This window comes from Homo sapiens, chromosome 12, assembly GCF_000001405.40.
Source record: "Homo sapiens chromosome 12, GRCh38.p14 Primary Assembly".
NCBI classification, from domain to species: domain Eukaryota; kingdom Metazoa; phylum Chordata; class Mammalia; order Primates; family Hominidae; genus Homo; species Homo sapiens.
The window spans coordinates 46,605,101-46,626,766 of NC_000012.12; the positions used below are offsets into that span (position 1 = coordinate 46,605,101).

At 39.7% G+C, this 21,666-nt stretch overlaps 1 long non-coding RNA gene across 5 annotated transcripts in view, besides 1 other annotated feature; it reads left to right on the forward strand.

The window, feature by feature from the left end:
• SLC38A4-AS1 (SLC38A4 antisense RNA 1) overlaps nt 1-21,666 on the forward strand; it is a 268,904-nt gene that overhangs the window by 221,425 nt on the left and 25,813 nt on the right. The gene's annotated exons all lie outside the window — the stretch shown is intronic.
• Nucleotides 12,812-13,312: an enhancer, noted in NCBI's record as "H3K4me1 hESC enhancer chr12:47011695-47012195 (GRCh37/hg19 assembly coordinates)". NCBI's record gives its function as "activates a minimal SCP1, AML or CMV promoter by ChIP-STARR-seq in naive H9 embryonic stem cells {active_cell/tissue: H9 hESC(naive)}" and the evidence as "EXISTENCE:reporter gene assay evidence [ECO:0000049][PMID:30033119]".

Below are 21,666 nucleotides of genomic sequence, written 5' to 3' on the forward strand. Positions count from 1 at the left end.
TGCGTATACTCAGAATCAAAGCTAAAGTGTCCTACCCAACCAAAACCATAGATACATCTTCAAAAAAACATCATTCCCTAAAAAAGCAAATTCAAAAAATCAGAAGAAGCAACTGTTACACTGGATGGCAGATACTAACATAAGAGCACAAGAAATATGAAAAAGCAAGGGCATATGACACTCCCAAGGCAGAACGTTGGATACCCTTTGCAACTTTGGGCTTGTGTCTCATCCATGATAGATGGTAGCTGATGTAGATGACCTGGCAGTAAAGGACCCTCTTCCCTATACTCAGCATGTTGAGTAGAGCAGCAAGTACTAGAAACAATTCATCATGTTGTCTCTTGTGGGAACCAAGGAACTGTTCATGGCCAGAGGTGGTGAGCCTGGCAGACTTTAGCCACCCGACTTGCCTCAAGCTCTATCTGGTTACCCCAAATATTGAAGAGACTAATTATGACCAATATAATCCATTGTTAGACTGCCAGAGAGCTCAGAATACTCTTTGTGAGCCTCTGAGTTTGTCTATAAATGCTATAAAGGTTTTGTTTTGTTTTGTTTTAAAGCTAAACATTATATGAGTATATATGATCTCACCTCATGGATAAGTAACCCAAAAGCCTGTAAAGAGCAGATTTTGGATCCAGATTTGTTTGACTTTAAAACCCTCATTTGTCACCTCTTTCTTGTGTTGCCTCTATTTTTATGAGAAGAGGTATCAAGTGATCAAGCAGGACTTCTTTGAGGAGTAGTATAGGGTTCATGCTGAGTTTTGAAGGCCTAGCAGAATTCGGAGAAGCAGAGAACAGGGGAGCGTGCATCTCATGTAAGGAAAACAGCAGATGTTTCCATAGACACTGAAATGGTTTTCTAAAAACAAATTTGGGGAGAACAGTGAAGATTGTGTGTAATCGTTCTCCATTTGAGTGGTTGTCTTTAGCTGATGTCTTATGACTTTTTTAAAAGTATGATTTTAAATTTTTGTGGGTACATAGTAGGTGTATATATTTATGGGATACATGAAATGTTTAGATACAGGCATGCAATGTGTAATAATCACATGATGGAAAATGAGGTATCTATCACCTCAAGCATTTATCCTTTGTGTTACAGGCAATCTAATTATAGTCTTTTAGTTATTTTAAAATGTACAATTAAATTATTATTGACTGTAGTCATCCTATTGTGCTATCAAACACTAGGGCATATTAATTCATTCTATTTTTGTACCCCATAACCATCCCCACCTTCCCAGCCTCTGGTAACCATCACTCTACTCTCTATCTCCATGGGTTCAACTGCTTTGATTTTCAGATCACACAAATAAGTGAGAACATGTGATGTTTGTCTTTCTGTGCCTGGCTTATTTCACTTAACAGTTGCATCCAAGTTGCAGATGACTTAATCTCATTCTTTTTTATGCCTAAATAGTACTCCATTGTGTATAAGTATCACATTTTCTTTATCCATTCATCTGTTGATGGCCAATTAGATTGCTTCCAAATCTTGGCTATGGTGAACACAGCCACAACAAACATGAGAATGCAGATATCCTTTTGATATACTGATTTCTTTCTTTTGGGTATGTAACTAGCAATGAAATTGCCGGATCATATGGTAGCTCTATTTTTAACTTTTAGTTTTTGAAGAACCCCCAAACTGTTCTCCATAGTGATTGCACTAATTTTCATTTCCACCAACAGTGTATGAGGATTCCTTTTTCTGCACTTCCTTGTCAGCATTTGTTATTGCCTGTCTTTTGCATAAAACCCATTATAACTAAGGTGAGATGATATCTCATTGTAGTTTTGATTTGCATTTCTCTGATGATCAGTGATGTTGAGCACCTCTTCCTATGTCTGTTTGCCATTTGTATGTCTACTTTTGAGAAATATCTATACAAATCTTTTGTCCATTTTTTAATTGGATTATTAGAATTTTTCCTATAGAGTTGTCTGAGCTCCTGATATATTCTGGTTATTAATCTTTTGTCAGATGGGTGGTTTGGAAATATTTTCTCCCATTCTGTGGGTTATCTCTTCACTTTGTGGATTATTTCCTTTGCTGTGCAGAAGCTTTTTATGCCATCCAATTTGTCCATTTTTGCTTTGGTTGCCTGTGGTTGTGGCATATTACTCAAGAAATCTTTGTCCAGACCAATGGCCTGGAGATTTTTCCCAATGTTTTCTTGTAGTAGTTTTATAGTTTGAGGTCTAAGATTTAATTCTTTAATCCATTTTGGTCGATTTTTGTATATGGTGAGAGATAAAAGTCTAGTTTCATTCTTCTGCATATGGATATCCAATTTTCCCAGTATCATTTATTGAAGAGACTGTCTTTTCTGCAGTGTGTGTTCCTGGCACATTTCTTGAAAATCTCATCACATTTTTTTTTCTCACCAAATTGATAAATCTGTTCCTTAAAGCAGAAAGTCCAAACAATGGAAGGAAAGTGCCCTGAGCAGAGTCAGACGACTAGATTCTTGGGCTGGCTGTGTGATCTTGGGCAATTTATACAACTTCTCTATTAAGGTATACCTTTGACACTCAAATTCAGTTCATCTGCTTCTCAGAGTAATGGACACCAAACAGCCCTAAAAATCCTTTTGTGGACTGACTGCTGGGGCTATTCATTGTATTGATTATAGTACATCAGCCTTGGATGTGTAAAATAAATTAAGCCAATCAGGGCTACAAATGACAGAAGTATAATTTTCTAAAAGTTATTCCATTATTTCAAAATCCTTACAAATAATCCTCCTCTTTTAAGTAGTTCATTAATTATTAAAAATAATGTTGGCTGGGCGCAGTGGCTCACATCTGTAATCCTAGTACTTTGGGAGGCCGAGGCAGGTGGATCACAAGGTCAGGAGATCGAGACCATCCTGGCTAACACGGTGAAACCCCGTCTCTACTAAAAAATTAGCCGGGCGTAGTGGCGGGTGCCTATAGTCCCAGCTACTCGGGAGGCTGAGGCAGGAGAATGGCGTGAACCTGGGAGTTGGAGCTGGCAGTGAGCTGGGGTCATGCCACTGCACTCTAGCCTGGGCAACAGAGTGAGACTCTGTCTCAAAAATAAAAAATAAAAAATAATAATGTTGGTGCACTTAGCCATTGAAGGGTCTATTACTAAAACCATTGTTTGTTTTAGAAACACCATTCTTAATCATTCAGGATATAAAATTTTATCTCAGAATTCTCTTGATGTGTACTTTTATGTAGTCTCCTAAGTGGGCTCCTCCTTACCAAGAATAGAGGCTTCTCGGATGGGGCAGTTTGAATAAATGACCGCTCTGAGAGTGTCTCCTTTTTTTGTTGTTTTTGCCCTCTGTCTCTAAAGATGGCAACTCTGACTGGCCAAAGAGGCTTTATTAGCAATAGGTTAAGGTACTGCAGTGAAAAGGCATGTAATTGCTGGAAGGCCTAAGCTTTGGGAAAGTTTCTGGCCACAGGAGGAAGTTCTGCTCCTTTTATTGCCTGTTTTAGGAGAATTGTTATGATCAGTGCAATGAATAGTTTTGGTTGTAGTAGAAAGCCAGGAAAAGTGTGTTCTAAATTAGAATCAGATGACTAAGGGTGAGTGAGTACACATTTTTAACCCACTTTCTTCATTGAGATGGAGCAGATTATACATATGTGTTTTGGGAAATCAAAATAATTTTTAGAAATTGATCAAACCTCAGTATTTAAACAAGATCACATGACAGTTGTTGCTTAGAGAGCAAGAATGTAGCTAATTCTTGATTCCCTCAGAAATGAGTAGCTGCCTTTCTGGTTTCTGTGGATTATTCCTGCTATTGAATTCTCCCTGCCATCTCCTTATACTTGGGCTTTTGGGCCCTTTACTTGCTTATAACCTCCTCTACCAAAAAGGACTGGCAGCCAGGGCTGGGGAAAGGCAGGACAACAACCCCCAGTTAGAGATTTGGTTTCTAATGTTCAGTTCTGGCAAAAGTTCTGTGGTAAAGGAGACAATGCTTGTAGCCATAAAATGTGGTTTGGGGGCTGTCCATGTTGTCCTTCCTTCTCCTTCCTCCTTACCACACATAATCAGGAATTGGCTGTCTAGCAACTCTCCTACGCTCTAGGAAAAAGCAGTCTGAAGGTGGGTGGGGAGGAGGAACAGGACTGCTTTCCCCACTTTCTTGATGTAGATTCTATTCTTAAGTGTGCAGCGTTCTCTCCACTGAGCTATTATCAGAGGACCTGCAGTTTTCCTCTTCCATAATTGCAATGCAAACAACTGCAGGGAGAACACACTGAGATTTGGAGAGCTGTTGTTGTTTCATTGTAAAATGGTAGCTGTCTTAGGAGATGGGACCACAGTTTCCTGTACTAGCTTGTGGCTGAACTTTGGCTCCTTAGTTGTGAGTTATCACTTTATCTCTAACCAGAGGTGTTTTTCTATTCTCATTTTTGCCTATGAGAACTTCTTTTTTTAAAAATAGAAATTCATCTTCATGTCTATGGGTACATTTAAGTGACTTAGGGGTTTGTGAGTAGATTGGTCATTGAGTCACAACTTTGCAGATTGTCTTTAAATATAGTGATAATGTTGATGATGACAACCATAATGATAAAGGTAAATTAAATCTACAATCCAAGCTAACCTCTTTGGAGCCTCCCATTCACTGGAAGTTATTGAGCCTGAGCGGGAAGAGCATTGTTGGAGAGACTGTAGTGTATGGGGCCAGACAGCCTGCTTTGGCCACTAGCCATCTCTATGGCCTTGGACAAGTTATTTAACCTTACTAAACATCAATATTCTGGTTTGATAAATAGAGATAATAATAGTGAGGATATTTACAGTGGACATTTGCCATTCTTTTTGGTTGTCCAGTGTGTGGAGTCTCCCTCCTGTGACTCAGGAATGCGTTCACTATATAATGTCAGCTACTTGCTCTCCCAGCCTCCCTTGTAATTATGGTGTGGGCACCTGCCCCAGAGCTGCAGTTAACAAATGACTTCTCACAGTGGATGGTGGTAGAAGAACCAAGTTCAGGAGCAGCAGTGGTGGCAGGGATGGTAGTCCCAGTGGTTAGCACTACAGGATGCACTAGCCAATTCCCAGAGTAGCAGTGGTCACCTCACCAAAATGGTTCAATTGTGTGATTTTTAAGCGGTACTCCAGCCTGTAGAGCCTCAAAAGGGTTCTCCAGCCCTTCCATAATCCTATAAGCTGCCTGATATCCTCCTTAAATCAGCCCAAATTGGTTTCTATAGCTTGCACTGTAAGTCCCAATTGGTACAGTATCTCAGTGAGGTGAATATTAAATGAGATAATACAAGGAAAGTGTTTGGCACGGGGGCATAACACCTAGTAGATGCTCAAGGAATACTATGTTAATAATAGTAATAGTATTAATAGTAAGAGCAACCAGAGATTAGACTGAAAAGAGACCTAAGGTGTTGTCAGCTTTGTAGGAAGAGAGTTTAAAGGTTAACTGCTGGATGGAATCTATCAATGTAATTTTGGTTATCATAGAATTAACTAGACTTAGCCCAGCTTCCTTTTTTATTGATAAAGAAGGTTCAGGGGCATTGGGTAAATTACTCAGTGCCAATAGCTAGTGAATGACAAAGCCAAGCTGGAGGCTTTTGTACTGTCTGTTCTCTACTCCACTGCTCCATGCTATTTAAATTTAAAAACTTAACAAACACATGTGTATGCATGGATTAAGATCTGTGAGGAACTAAGAAAGAACTATGGTTGGTACCTGGAATTGTTCAACGCCATCTCTCCTGATCATCATTGAACCTGGTGAAGCAGAACACGCACATGCCCAATTAGAGAACAGAGTGAAAAAGCACAGTGCGTGCTGGGCCCTGTGGCTAAAAACCACAGACAGGACAGTCACTATGGCTAAAGTCAGGGAAGATCTCATGGGAAGGTGAGAATTGAAGCTGATGTGTGAAGTGACTTTTACCACCTAAATAAGGTGAGGTTTATTTTTTTTTTTTAAAAAGTGTTAGGGCAAAGCCAAAGTTAGACATTTACTGTGGGTTTACTTGTTTGTTTTTGAGAGGGCATCAGGGTAGAACTTTTAAAAATACCATGGAAATTATAGGATATAAATTATAATGTGTAAATTTTAAAAAGTCTTAAAATCTCTGCTGAAAACAGAGGGCTGTTTTGTTGGTTCTTAACCATCTTTGGAAATTTAAGCCATACTCAACATGTTTAAAAGATTAATAAAAATATATTTATGGCATTTTTATATCATTTGGTGGCATTTGTGTTTTGTTTCGTTTCGTTTTGTTTTGTTTTCGAGATAGAGTCTTGCTCTGTCACCCAGGCTGGAGTGCAGTGGCGCAATCTCAGCTAACTGCAGCCTCCGCCTCCTGGATTCAAGCGATTCTCCTGCCTCAGCTTCCTGAGTAGCTGGGATTACAGATGCCCGCCACCACATCTGGCTAATTTTTGTATTTTTAGTAGAGATGGGGATTTCTTCATGTTGGCCAGGATAGTCTCGAACTCCTGGCCTCAAGTGATCCACCTGCCTCAGCCTCCCAAAGTGCTGGGATTACAGGCATAAGCCACCACACCCAGACTCATTTGGTGTTTTTAAAGCACATTTATGGGCATGATCTTTGATCACAGAGACAACAATGAGAGTTGGGTAGAAATGTTTTAAATTTAAAGAGGGGAAAACTGAAGCTCGGAAGGCCTAAATGGCGTGTTTACATCATAAAGTTGGTTTATTTAACAAAATTAAGTTCAGATTTCTTGACTTTGGGTCTAAAATTCTATTTGCTAAGAAACAAAAAGTCCTTGTGTCAAAAAGCAACTTTAGAAACATTGCATATTTTCATAATAGCCTCCAACTTTAGTTTGCTTGGATATGCTTCTCTCAGTATCTGAAAGCTGCTTTACCAGTGAATATAAAGGAATTTCTACACCATTGCCAATTCCAGATTGTCTAAATTGTGTTCGTAAACTGCATCTATTGGGTTTCTGATTGCTGAGGACTCCAGGCTGTAGCGACGTCATGAACCGATCTTACAGGACTCAAGATGCTTGCAGATCCTGACAGTTCCTTCTGGAATAGACTGCCAAAGGTAGTCGAAGATTTTTGTTTTGTTGTTTTTTTTTTTTTTAAAGCTAGATAATCCCACATTTAGAATTTTTCTCAAGGGAGAACGTCGATGTATTCCAGTCTGTCAAAAGGTAAAGAAAGTTATTTTCTTCTTACTAGCTAAAGAAGATAATGAAAAGAGGAATCTGAAATTTGAAATCTCCAATCCATAGGTAGATGAAAAGAGGAATCTGAAATTTGAATCTCCAATCCATAGGTAGATGAAAAGAGGAATCTGAAATTTGAAATCTCCAATCCATAGGTAGAAAGTGCCAAAAATCACACTTCTGGGTTGTTTTGATTTATTTGTCCTAAGAAATTATCCTTCCTCCCCTCCCCTCCCCTTTCCTTCCTTCCTTCCTTCCTTCCTTCCTTCCTTCCATCTTCCTCCTTTTCTTTCTTTCTCTCTCTCTTTCACAAATAAGACTCTCCTTAGCTGGAAACTATATCCTGCTATGAAATTGTGTGTTCATCCAGTTTTCATTTTACTTGAATTTTCAGCAGCATTGAACACTATAGCCCCACTTCCGTAATCTACACCTTTTTGAAACACTATTTTCTTCTGGCTTTCAGCCTCTACTGGTCTTTCAACTAAATTTTCTCTCTGTTCTTCCTTAATTCCCTTTCAGACTCATGCTACTCTATATGACCATTAAATATCAGAATTCCCAAAAACCCATTCCTGGGCCCTGTCCTCTTCTTGCTCTATACTTCTTCCTCAGGCAAACTCTATGATCAGGATTGAATTCCTGCCCACATGGCCATGACTTGGAAATGTGTATCTCCAGTCCATGTCTTTCCTTTGAATACCAGGTCAAGCATGTCCTCATGTATCCACTTGGTCATCTCAAAAACATCTTAAATTCAACATGAACAAAACAAATTCACCATGTTCCCTCTACTAACCCTGACCAACACTCACTATTCCCAAATCTCAGTGAACATAACGGCATCCTGCAGTTGTGGCAACTTGGGCATCATTCTCTCTCAAATCCTGTATCCAATCCATCAGCAGCTGTGATATTTCCCATATTTCCCATCCACTTCTCTCCATTTGTGCTGTCACCACTGGTCCTGACTTCCATCGCTTTTCACCTGGATGGTTGCTGGAGCCTCCTCACAGCTCTGCCTACATCTTTTCAGCATTCTTCCACCATCACAGATAAACAGTGTAGTTCAAGTTGTGATGATATTGACATAAACAGCCTCCAATATACTAAATCCAGGCACCTAGTAAATATTTGTTGGCTGTTGTTTTTTTTCCTGTAAGGTGGGATGCTTATGGCCTGGGATCTGAAACAGGAAAAGATCATCATATGATCATTACCTCTAACTTCAGTCTCTTTCTTCCCCTCCTTCAAACCTCAGAGCAAAGGCCAGAGAAATCACGTTTTTGCAACAATATCAGGGACAAAATAAGCTGAAAGAAACAATGTTGAGAACAGGCTGAAATAATCAGTGATACATAATTTCAATCTTAGCTCAAAAGATTGGGGGAGGAGGAGAAGAACAATTATAGGAGTTTTCATCAAAAGGTACAAATACAAAGAAAGACACATACAATTATGGGTGTACTTATGCACACCAATAATACACACACACATACACACGCATACCCTGTACCCAGTGCTTTATCCATGCTGGTACATAGTAAATGAATGTTGAACAAATGAATGAAACAAAGCCAGCTCCTTATCAGGTTTGGATAAAATATTGGCTGCTTGTTTTTGTAGGTCACCAGAAAATGAACCGAAAACAAAATAAATTTACTAGTTAAGATGCATTCTTAAATAATTCTTTTTCAAAATTATTCTAAAAAATATTTATCCCCCAAAGTTCTTAGAGCTGAATAAGACTACATGTCTTTAATTCTTTTTTTTTTTTTTTTGAGATGGAGTCTTGCTCTGTCGTCACCCAGGCCGGAGTGCAGTGGCTCAGTGGCTAGATCTCAGCTCACTGCAAGATCCACCTCCTGGGTTCACGCCATTCTCCTGCCTCAGCCTCCCGAGTAGCTGGGACTACAGGTGCCTGCAACCATGCCTGGCTAATTTTTTGTATTTTTAGTAGAGACGGGGTTTCACCGTGTTAGCCAGGATGGTCTCAATCTCCTGACCTCGTGATCCACCCACCTTGGCCTCCCAACGTGCTGGAATTACAGGCGTGAGCCACCACGCCTGGCCCTTTCATTCTTTTACTTGACTCTATCCCATATTTATACCCTCTCTAATATTTCAGTTGTGATCCTCAGAGGTAAGTATCCCATTTTCCCACTTTATAGACTAGGAAACTGAGGCGTATGCAAAAGTAACTTCAGAAAAAGGTACATAATTGCACAACAGAATTTCCCTTAAAGTATGATCTTCCAATACTAGTAATGTGCCCTTGAATCAATAATTTTTTAAAAAATACACAGTAAACATTGAATTTTCTTAAGAGTTCAATTCTTCCTAAATTCATCTATAGATTCAATATATTCCAAATCAAACTGTCAGCATGCTAGTTTTTAGAAATTCAGAAGCTAATTATAAAATATATATGAAAATGCAAATTACTGAATAAATTTAAAAAGAAGAACAAAGTTGGTGGTCTTATGTTACCCAATTTCAAGACTTTATATAGTGTTAAATAATCAAGACTGTATGGTAGTAGTGGAAGGGTAGATATATAGATGCATGGAACAGAAAAACCCAGAAATAGACTCTTATATTTATGATCAGTTGATTTTTTACAAAGATGGAAATTTGATGGGGAAAAGAAAGTTTTCAACAAGTGATGGTGGAGCAACTGGATGTTTGTAAGGAAACAATGAATCTTGATTCTTACCTCAGATACAAAATGAATGTTGTCATTCATTCAAGAGATAATGAGTGTGCCAGGTGAGAGGGGGTCTTGTTGGATAATCTCCAACAAGTCTGCCCACTGGGAGGAATGCACATGGGGGTGGAACCTTGGGAAGTTTGTGCCATTTGCAGTGGGGAAGAGCCCGGCCCCTCCTCTTCCTGTGTGGAACCTGGGACTCAAGCTGCGTGTGGCAAGTACTCTAGCAGGGACTCTGGCCTTGCGAGAGTCCCTGTTTGCCCCTTTTCTTCCTTTTCACCTAATAAAACCCTGTCCTACTCATCATTCAAATTGTCTGTGAGCCTGAATTTTCATGGCCATGGGACAAAGAAGCTCATCTTTAGCTGAACTAAGGAAAGGTCCTGCAAAAGGATTTCCTATGTACCAGCAAAAATGGATGGTAAATGTAAATTTAAGAACCAAAATGATAAAAATTCTAGAGGAAAACATAGGAGAAAATTTCTATGTTCTTGAAGAAGGCAAAGAGTTCTTAAATGCCCAAATAATGAACCATTAAAGAAACAATGATAAAATGGACTTTGTCAAAATTAAAATCTTTTGCTCTTCAAAAGACACCTTTAGAAAAATAAAAAGGCAAGCCATGGAATTGGAGAAAATTGTTGCAATGTTACGTGTTAGTTATCTATTGCTCTATAAAAAATTACCCACAAAACTTAGAAACTTGAAACAACAAACAATTATTATCTCACAGTTTCTGTGGGCCAAAATCTGGGAAATGGCAATTAAGCTGTTGGCTGGGATAAAGTCATCTAAAGACTGAATTTGGGGAAGATCCGCTTTCAGGCCCTCTTATGTGGCTACTGGTAGAAGATCCAGAAGATTACCTCAGTTTCTGGACACATGAGCCTCCCATAAGGCCTCTTGTCTGTCCTCAGGACATGGCAGCTCCCTTCTCCTTGAGTGAGTAGCTGAAGAGAGAGAAGTGAGTGAGTGCACTAAAGATGGCAGCTGCGGTCATTTTATCATCTACTCTCTGGAGCAACATCCCATAACTCTGTGATGTTCTATTTGTTAGAAGTGAGTCCTTAAATCCAGCCCATATAAAAGGGAAGCTGAATTAAGCTCTACCTCTTGAGTGGATGAGTATCCAAGAATTTGTACACATAACTATAAAACCACCAGAGTATATAGCTTACAAAAAAGTTTGTATACAGAATAGACAGAGAACACTACAACTCTATAATAAGAAATTCTATGAAAATGGTAAAATCGTGGAATAGACACTTTCAAATGAAGATATTCTTACGTTTAATAAACACAAGAAAAGATGCTCAACATCATTGGTCATCAGAGAAATGTAAATGAAAACCACTATATGTCTACCAGAATGGTTAAAATTAAAAAGACTGAAAACTTTGACTAAATGCTGGCAAGCATGTCGAGGCATTGGAATGCAGCATTGCTGGTGGGAATGTAAAAGAGTGTAACCACTTTGGAAGATGTCAATTTTTTAAAAGTTGAACATACGCTTTACATACACCCTAACCATCCCACTCTGAGGTATTTACCCAAGAAAAATGAAAACATATGACAGCATAAAAGTTTGTATACATATATTCACAGTAATTTTATTTGCTGTAGCTATAAGAACTGGAAATAACCCAAATGTCTTTCAACAGGTAATGGAGAGACAAAACGTGGTGCAGCCATATAAGGGGGTACTACCCAGCAATACAAAGGAATGAGCTACTAACACACAAAACATCATGAAGGAATCTCAAAATCATCATGCTAAGGGAAGGAATTCAGACACAAAGGAATCTATCTGAATATGAATTTAGTTATATAAAATTGTAGAACACACAAGCTAATCAATAGCAACCAATGCAGATCAGTTTTTGCCTTGGGGTGTGGGTAGAGGGAATAATAGAGTACAAGGGAACAGAGGGTATCTTTTGGGGATGGTAGAAATCTTCTGTTTTTTGACCATTGGAGTGGTTTCAAGAGTGTACACATCTCTCAAAACTTCTTAATTTGTGTACCTTAAATAAATGGAGTTTTCCGAATACAAATTATAATCCCAATAAAGTTGACTTTAAGCAGGGGAGTGGAGGAGAAACTAAAAGTCAATAATTTTTCATCTTTAAAACTGTTGAATGTCACTTTGTATGAGTACATTCACCATTTGTGTAACCTGTGAGTTGGTGAGGCATTTGAATGACCTGATTAGCAGTGTTTTTGTCTGTGAAATGTGTGTATTTGGCAGAGTTGTAATCAGGCAGGAGAGGGACAGAGGGTTTGTCATGATGCATTAGGACATCTCTGAGGTTCCTCCCGTTGTTGCATAATTCTGTCTTCTGTCCCTACGTGGACAAGAGCCCAGGCCTTGTAATTCAACAGACATGCATTCAATTCCAGCTCAGCTATTTCTAGCAGTGTGACCCTGGGCCAGTTACTAAGTTTCAGTTTCATCAGAGGTAAAATAAGGATAATATACTTACATAGAAATGAGCTGTCATGAGTGGAGCCAAGATGGCCAAATAAGAACAGCTCCGGTCTACAGCTCCCAGCGTGAGTGATGCAGAAGATGGGTGATTTCTGCATTTCCATCTGAGGTACCGGGTTCATCTCACTAGGGAGTGCCAGACAGTGGGCACAGGACAGTGGGTGCAGCGCACCATGCACGAGCCGAAGCAGGGTGAGGCATTGCCTCACTTGGGAAGCACAAGGGGTCAGGGAGTTCCCTTTCCTAGTCAAAGAAAGGGGTGACAGACGGCACCTGGAAAATCGGGTCACTCCCACCCCAATACTGCACTTTTCCAATGGGCTTAAACGGTGCACCAGGAGATTATATCCCGCACCTGGCTCAGAGGGTCCTACACCCATGGAGCCTCGCTGATTGCTAGCACAGCAGTCTGAGATCAAACTGAAAGGTGGCAGCGAGGCTGGGGGAGGGGCGCCCGCCATTGCCCGGGCTTGCTTAGGTAAACAAAGCAGGCGGGAAGCTCGAACTGGGGGGAGCCCACCACAGCTCAAGGAGACCTGCCTGCCTCTGTAGGCTCCACCTCTGGGGGCAGGGCACAGACAAACAAAAAGACAGCAGTAATCTCTGCAGACTTAAATGTCCCTTCCTGACAGCTTTGAAGAGAGCAGTGGTTCTCCCAGCACGCAGCTGGAGATCTGAGAATGGGCAGACTGCCTCCTCAAGTGGGTCCCTGACCCCTGACCCCCGAGCACCCTAACTGGGAGGCACCCCCCAGTAGGGGCAGACTGACACCTCACAAGGCCGTGTACTCCTCTGAGACAAAACTTCCAGAGGAATGATCAGACAGCAGCATTCGCGGTTCACGAAAATCCGCTGTTCTGCAGCCACTGCTGCTGGTAGCCAGGCAAACAGGGTCTGGAATGGACCTCTACCAAACTCCAACAGACTTGCAGCTGAGGGTCCTGTCTGTTAGAAGGAAAACTAACAAACAGAAAGGACATCCACACCAAAAACCCATCTGTACATCACCATCATCAAAGACCAAAAGTAGATAAAACCACAAAGATGGGGAAAAAACAGAGCAGAAAAACTGGAAACTCTAAAAAGCAGAGTGCCTCTCCTCCTCCAAAGGAACCCAGCTCCTCACCAGCAATGGAACAAAGCTGGACGGAGAATGACTTTGACGAATTGAGAGAAGAAGGCTTCAGATGATCAAACTACTCCGAGCTTCAGGAGGAAATTCAAACCAAAGGCAAAGAAGTTGAAAACTTTGAAAAAAATTTAGATGAATGTATAACTAGAATAACCAATACAGAGAAGTGCTTAAAGGAGCTGATGGAGCTGAAAGCCAAGGCTCGAGAACTACATGAAGAATGCAGAAGCCTCAGGAGCCAATGCAATCAACTGGAAGAAAGAGTATCAGTGACGGAAGATGAAATGAATGAAATGAAGCGAGAAGGGAAGTTTAGAGAAAAAAGAATAAAAAGAAACAAACAAAGCCTCCAAGAAAAATGGGACTATGTGAAAAGACCAAATCTACGTCTGATTGGTGTACCTGAAAGTGACGGAGAGAATGGAACCAAGTTGGAAAACACTTTGCAGGATATTATCCAGGAGAACTTCCGCAATCTAGCAAGGCAGGCCAACGTTCAGATTCAGGAAATACAGAGAACACCACAAAGATACTCCTCAAGAAGAGCAACTCCAAGACACATAATTATCAGATTCACCAAAGTTGAAATGAAGGAAAAAATGTTAAGGGCAGCCAGAGAGAAAGGTCGGGTTACCCTCAAAGGGAAGCCCATCAGACTAACAGCGGATCTCTTGGCAGAAACTCTACAAGCCAGAAGAGAGTGAGGGCCAATATTCAACATTCTTAAAGAAAAGAATTTTCAACCCAGAATTTCATATCCAGCCAAACTAAGCTTCATAAGTGAAGGAGAAATAAAATACTTTACAGACAAGCAAATGCTGAGAGATTTTGTCACCACCAGGCCTGCCCTAAAAGAGCTCCTGAAGGAAGCACTAAACATGGAAAGGAACAACCGGTACCAGCCACCGCAAAATCATGCCAAATTGTAAAGACCATCGAGGCTAGGAAGAAACTGCATCAACTAACGAGCAAAATAACCAGCTAACATCTTAATGACAGGATCAAATTCACACATAACAATATTAACTTTAAATGTAAATGGACTAAATGCTCCAATTAAAAGACACAGACTGGCAGATTGGATAAAGAGTCAAGACCCATCAATGTGCTGTATTCAGGAAACCCATCTCACGTGCAGAGACACACATAGGCTCAAAATAAAGGGATGGTGGAAGATCTACCAAGCAAATGGAAAACAAAAAAAGGCAGGGGTTGCAATCCTAGTCTCTGATAAAACAGACTTTAAACCAACAAAGATCAAAAGAGACAGAAGGCCATTACATAATGGTAAAGGGATCAATTCAACAAGGAGAGCTAACTATCCTAAATATATATGCACCCAATACAGGAGCACCCAGATTCATAAAGCAAGTCCTGAGTGACCTACAAAGAGACTTAGACTCCCACACAATAATAATGGGAGACTTTAACACCCCACTGTCAACATTAGACAGATCAGTGAGACAGAAAATTAACAAGGATACCCAGGAATTGAACTCAGCTCTGCACCAAGCGGACCTAATAGACATCTACAGAACTCTCCACCCCAAATCAACAGAATATACATTTTTTCAGCACCACACCACACCTATTCCAAAATTGACCACATAGTTGGAAGTAAAGCACTCCTCAGCAAATGTAAAAGAACAGAAATTATAACAAACTGTCTCTGAGACCACAGTGCAATCAAACTAGAACTCAGGATTAAGAAACTCATTCAAAACTGCTCAACTACATGGAAACTGCACAACCTGCTCCTGAATGACTACTGGGTACATAACAAAATGAAGGCAGAAATAAAGATGTTCTTTGAAATCAACAAGAACAGAGACACAACATACCAGAATCTCTGGGACACATTCAAAGCAGTGTGTAGAGGGAAATTTATAGCACTAAAAGCCCACAGGAGAAAGCAGGAAAGATCCAAAATTGACACCCTAACATCACAATTAAAACAACTAGAAAAACAAGAGCAAACACATTCAAAAGCTAGCGGAAGGCAAGAAATAACTAAAATCAGAGCAGAACTGAAGGAAATAGAGACACAAAAAACCCTTCAAAAAATTAATGAATCCAGGAGCTGCTTTTTTGAAAGGATCAACAAAGTTGGTAGACCGCTAGCAAGACTAATAAAGAAGAAAAGAGAGAAGAATCAAATGGACGCTATAAAACATGATAAAGGGGATATCACCACTGATCCCACAGAAATACAAACTACCATCAGAAAATACTACAAACACCTCTACACAAATAAACTAGAAAATCTAGAAGAAATGGATAAATTCCTCAACACATACACCCTCCCAAGACTAAACCAGGAAGAAGTTGAATCTCTGAATAGACCAATAACAGGCTCTGAAATTGTGGCAATAATCAATAGCTTACCAACCAAAAAGAGTCTAGGACCAGATGGATTCACGGCCGAATTCTACCAGAGGTACAAGGAGGAACTGGTACCATTCCTTCTGAAACTATTCCAATCAATAGAAAAAGAGGGAGTTCTCCCTAACTCATTTTATGAGGCCAGAATCATCCTGATACCAAAGCCTGGCAGAGACACAACCAAAAGAGAGAATTTTAGACCAATATCCTTAATGAACATTGATGCAAAAATCCTCAATAAAATACTGGCAAACCGAATCCAGCAGCACATCAAACAGCTTATCCACCATGATCAAGTGGGCTTCATCCCTGGGATGCAAGGCTGGTTCAATATACACAAATCAATAAATGTAATCCAGCATATAAACAGAACCAAAGACAAAAACCACATGATTATCTCAATAGATGCAGAAAAGGCCTTTGACAAAATTCAACAACCCTTCATGCTAAAAACTCTCAATGAATTAGGTATTGATGGGACGTATCTCAAAATCAGAAGAGCTATTTATGACAAACCCACAGCCAATATCATACTGAATGGGCAAAAACTGGAAGCATTCCCTTTGAAAACTGGCACAAGACAGGGATGCCCTCTCTCACCACTCCTATTCAACATAGTGTTGGAAGTTCTGGCCAGGGCAATTAGGCAGGAGAAGGAAATAGACTGTATTCAATTAGGAAAAGAGGAAGTCAAATTGTCCCTGTTTGCAGGTGACATGATTGTATATCTAGAAAACCCCATTGTTTCAGCCCCAAATCTCCTTAAGCTGATAAGCAACTGCAGCAAAGTCTTAGGATACAAAATCAATGTACAAAAATCACAAGCATTCTTATATACCAATAACAGATAAACAGAGATCCAAATCATGAGTGAATTCCCATTCACAATTGCTTCAAAGAGAATAAAATACCTAGGAATCCAACTTACAAGGGACATGAAGGACATCTTCAAGAAGAACTACAAACCACTGCTCAATGAAATAAAAGAGGATACAAACAAATGGAAGAACATTCCATGCTCACGGGTAGGAAGAATCAATATCATGAAAATGGCCATACTGCCCAAGGTAATTTATAGATTCAATGCCATCCCCATCCAGCTACCAATGACTTTCTTCACAGAATTGGAAAAAACTACTTTAAAGTTCATATGGAACCAAAAAAGAGCCTGCATTGCCAAGTCAATCTTAAACCAAAAGAACAAAGCTGGAGGCATCATGCTACCTGACTTCAAACTATGCTACAAGGCTACAGTAACCAAAACAGCATGGTACTGGTACCAAAACAGAGATACAGATCAATGGAACAGAACAGAGCCCTCAGAAATAACGCCGCATATCTACAACTATCTGATCTTTGACAAACCTGAGAAAAACAAGCAATGGGGAAAGGATTCCCTATTTAATAAATGGTGCTGGGAAAACTGGCTAGCCATATGTAGAAAGCTGAAACTGGATCCCTTCCTTACACCTTATACAAAAATGAATTCAAGATGGACTAAAGACTTAAACATTAGACCTAAAACCATAAAAACCCTAGAAGACAACCTAGGCATTACCATTCAGGAGATAGGCATGGGCAAGGACTTCATGTCCAAAACACCAAAAGCAATGGCAACAAAAGCCAGAATTGACAAATGGGATCTAATTCAACTAAAGAGCTTCTGCACAGCAAAACAAACTACCATCAGAGTGAACAGGCAACCTACAAAATGGGAGAAAATGTTTGCAACCTACTCATCTGACAAAGGGCTAACATCCAGAATCTACAATGAACTCAAACAAATTTACAAGAAAAAAACAAACAACCCCATCAAAAAGTGGGCAAAGGACATGAACAGACACTTCTCAAAAGAAGACATTTATGCAGCCAAAAAACACATGAAAAAATGCTCACCATCACTGTGCATCAGAGAAATGCAAATCAAAACCACAATGAGATACCATCTCACACCAGTTAGAATGGCAATCATTAAAAAGTCAGGAAACAACAGGTGCTGGAGAGGATGTGGAGAAATAGGAACACTTTTACACTGTTGGTGGGACTGTAAACTAGTTCAACCATTGTGGAAGTCAGTGTGGCGATTCTTCAGGGATCTAGAACTAGAAATACCATTTGACCCAGCCATCCCATTACTAGGTATATACCCAAAGGAGTATAAATCATGCTGCTATAAAGACACATGCACACGTATGTTTATTGCGGCACTATTCACAATAGCAAAGACTTGGAACCAACCCAAATGTCCAACAATGATAGACTGGATTAAGAAAATGTGGCACATATACACAATGGAATACTATGCAGCCATAAAAAATGATGAGTTCATGTCCTTTGTAGGGACATGGATGAAATTGGAAATCATCATTCTCAGTAAACTATCGCAAGAACAAAAAACCAAACACCGCATATTCTCACTCGTAGGTGGGAATTGAACAATGAGAACACATGGACACTGGAAGGGGAACATCACACTCTGGGGACTGTTGTGGGGTGGGGGGAGTGGGGAGGGATAGCTTTAGGAGATATACCTAATGCTAAATGACGAGTTAATGGGGGCAGCACACCAGCATGGCACATGTATATGTATGTAACTAACGTGCACATTGTGCAATATATCCTAAAACTTAAAGTATAATAATAATGAAATAAAATTTAAAAAAAAAGAAATGAGCTGTCATATAAAACACTCAGCACACAAAGAAGAAGATACAGAAAAGGTATTTGATAGGTATTCAGCTTTTCCCCTTCCTTTTCCAGAAAAATCTTAACACTACTATGTTTGAAATTATGGGTTCTAAGAAAATAACTAATTTTCAGGAGCATTAAAATATCAGCAAAATCTGTATCTTTTGCCTATATAGGCAAAATATAAGTGGGAAAGTGGTTAATAAAGACATGTAAAGGGGAAAGTAAAATAAGAATTAAATCTTTCCTTTGTTTTGAATCAGTACTTTAAATTCCAAAGACACAAGTTACTTCTTCAAAATGCATTGAAATTGCACTGTAAGTAATTTTTTATATATAATCACATTATTAACAGCATAATTTGAAAAATGGAAGCTATAGGACAGCAGAGGATTAGGCCCTTAATCCACAAAACTATATAAGGAAACCTAAGCACACACCCATTGCTAGGCTCAAAATAAAACAGAAGTTCAGTGACAGTTACACTATCCATTTAACCTCCATTGCTGTTTTCAGTTAAAAAAAATTGGTAAATATTATCTATGCCTTTCCTGCTATAAAGTAAATATGAACTGTGTGATGTTCATATTGGAAAAGCAAGTATTATATGTAATGTGAAAATGCAATAAAAATAATTTAAAAACAGAAAGTTATCTTCCTGCCTTATTTAAAAGAGAGAGTCAAGAAAAGAGGGTAATTTGCTTGTGTGTGTTTAAATTATTTTGTTTTTATTGCAGTCTGTTGACTATTTTACTCATGAATTTGAAATGCTAATTAGGAATGTTGTTTTTTCATCTCATCAATCAGAGCATGCAGTCAGAAGCTTGTTTTTGCTAGTTGGTGCAACAGCTTATTGTTGGTTCTAGGAAGACACACTTAAACTAAGTAGGAGTAAATGTTTCTTAAAGGCAAATTCAGCTTTCAACAAATAATGTAATTAAGGAAGTGAATATTGAATGCCTACTTTGTGCAGTTTGTGATTGACTTGATGTCTCCCTGTTTCTGCCCCATCTGCCACTTCTTTTTCATGTCATTTCCTTTTACACATTTTCTTTTCTAAATCGCATGCTTCCTGCTGGTAGGAGTTGGCACTTACATTGCCAATGGATACCTGCACCTGTGAATGCTCTAGACACCAGTGGCTTTCGGTATGGAGTGACAGCTGGCTAGAAGTCTGATTCCTTTTCATATAGAATATTTGAAATATATTGTGTTTCATGTCTTCTTATACCTCTCCTTCCCATCTATATAGACAGGTGAGAGATGCCAGAAATGAATGCAGGTAGAGTTTAGGACCCTGCCTAGGGCACACGAACAGGTAGTAAATACTTGTCATTTAAGGCTCCAACTGCTTAGAATTTCCTCTGCTTGTGAGCACAACCATAGTGGTGAATGCCAATGCACCAGTGGCCTCTTGTAGGTTTCAGGGAGCTGTTTCTCCCTGAGTTCAGAGCAGGAAAAAAAATGCATGTTCACACTAAACCACCCTTGCCCTTTATAGCTTTTCCAATAGAGTGAATGAAAGTTATATCCTGGCCCAATCACCTGAAACACTGAGAAGGAGTTCAGCAGCTTAGCTCCACAAAGATGTAAATTTCCCTTTCTGATGTTGAAAATGGAGTGGCAAGGCTAGAAATTTGAGCTTTGTGATGTTTGCCTCAACTTCTAAGAAACATGCAATGAGCTGGGCATGGTGGCTCATGCTTGTAATCCCAGCACTTTGGGAGGCCAAGGTGGGCAGATCACTTGAGGTCAGGAGTTGACGATCAGCCTGGGTGACATGGTAAGACCTCGTCTCTACAAAAACTACAAAAAAAAAAGCAGTCGGGCATGGTGGTGCACGCCTGTGGTCCCAGCTACTTGGGAGGCTGAGCTGGGAGGATGGCTTGAGCACAGAAGGCAGAGGTTGACGTGAGCTGAGGTCATGCCACCACTGCACTCCAACCTGGGCAACAGAGCAAGACCCTGTCTCAAAACAAAACAAGAAACATGCAATAAACTCTCTGTAGATAGAAAGCTGAATATCTTGTTTTGTCTGAGATGGCTTAGGTGTGGAATTGCCTAGAAATGAGAGAGGTAGACAAAGTGACCCCCTCAGATTCTCCTAGGAGCCTTTTATTTATGAGTCCTTGGCAGGACATTCTAGCTTCTCTCCAAATTGTCTCCATACTGTCTGCCCAAATTTGTGAATCTGGTTCTCCCATGTAAAATTTCTATTTCTGTCAACTGATATTTTAATAATAGCTCTTCTTCAATCCCTTTGTCCTCTATATGATTTATTTATTTCTTCAACAAATATTTACTGGGTACTTACTCTGTGCCAGGCACCGTTCTAGGTTTTGGGAATCCAGTAATAAACAAAACAAACAAAATTTCCTGCTTTAGGGAGTTTACATTCTAGTGGAAGAAAGAAAAAATAACAAAGATAAATAATTAAAATATAAAGTAGATTAGGTAGTGACAAATACTGAAGAGAAAATCTAAAGTATTTAGATTTTAGGAAGAGGTAATATGAAATTTTAGGGGGTGGCAAGGATTGACATTTTGGATAAGGTAGCCACTGAGAGGGTGGTGTTGAGTAAAGACCTGGAGAAAGTGAGGGGTGAGCTATATGCATATCTAGGGGGAAGCATCTCAGTCAAGGGAACAGCAAGTGCAAAGTCCCTGCAGTGAGGACATACCGTTTTGTCTCTGTGCCTTTGCCCTCTTCACACTCCTGTCGTGTTATACCCTTCTCTTCCAAATTGCACTTCCTTCATTGTCTCTTCTGTGAAGACTTCAAGGTCTCTTCTCTCACTTTCTCTCTCTCTCCCTCCCTCCCTCATTTTGTGTTTTTTTTTTTTTCATAAGGGCTTCGTTATTCACTATGGGATCTCTTCCCACTCCAGATTCTTGAAGTACGCTTTTGATTTGTACTGATCCTGTAAGGCTTAGGATAGACTCTCTTCTTAATTTTGTCATCTGTTTGTATTTATGCCTGTATCTGTCTAATCAACTATGTGTAACCCATGAAGGACTGGGGCCATGTGCATCCTGAAAAGGACAACAGAGAGCAGGGGTTCAACATGTTTCTTGATATCATTG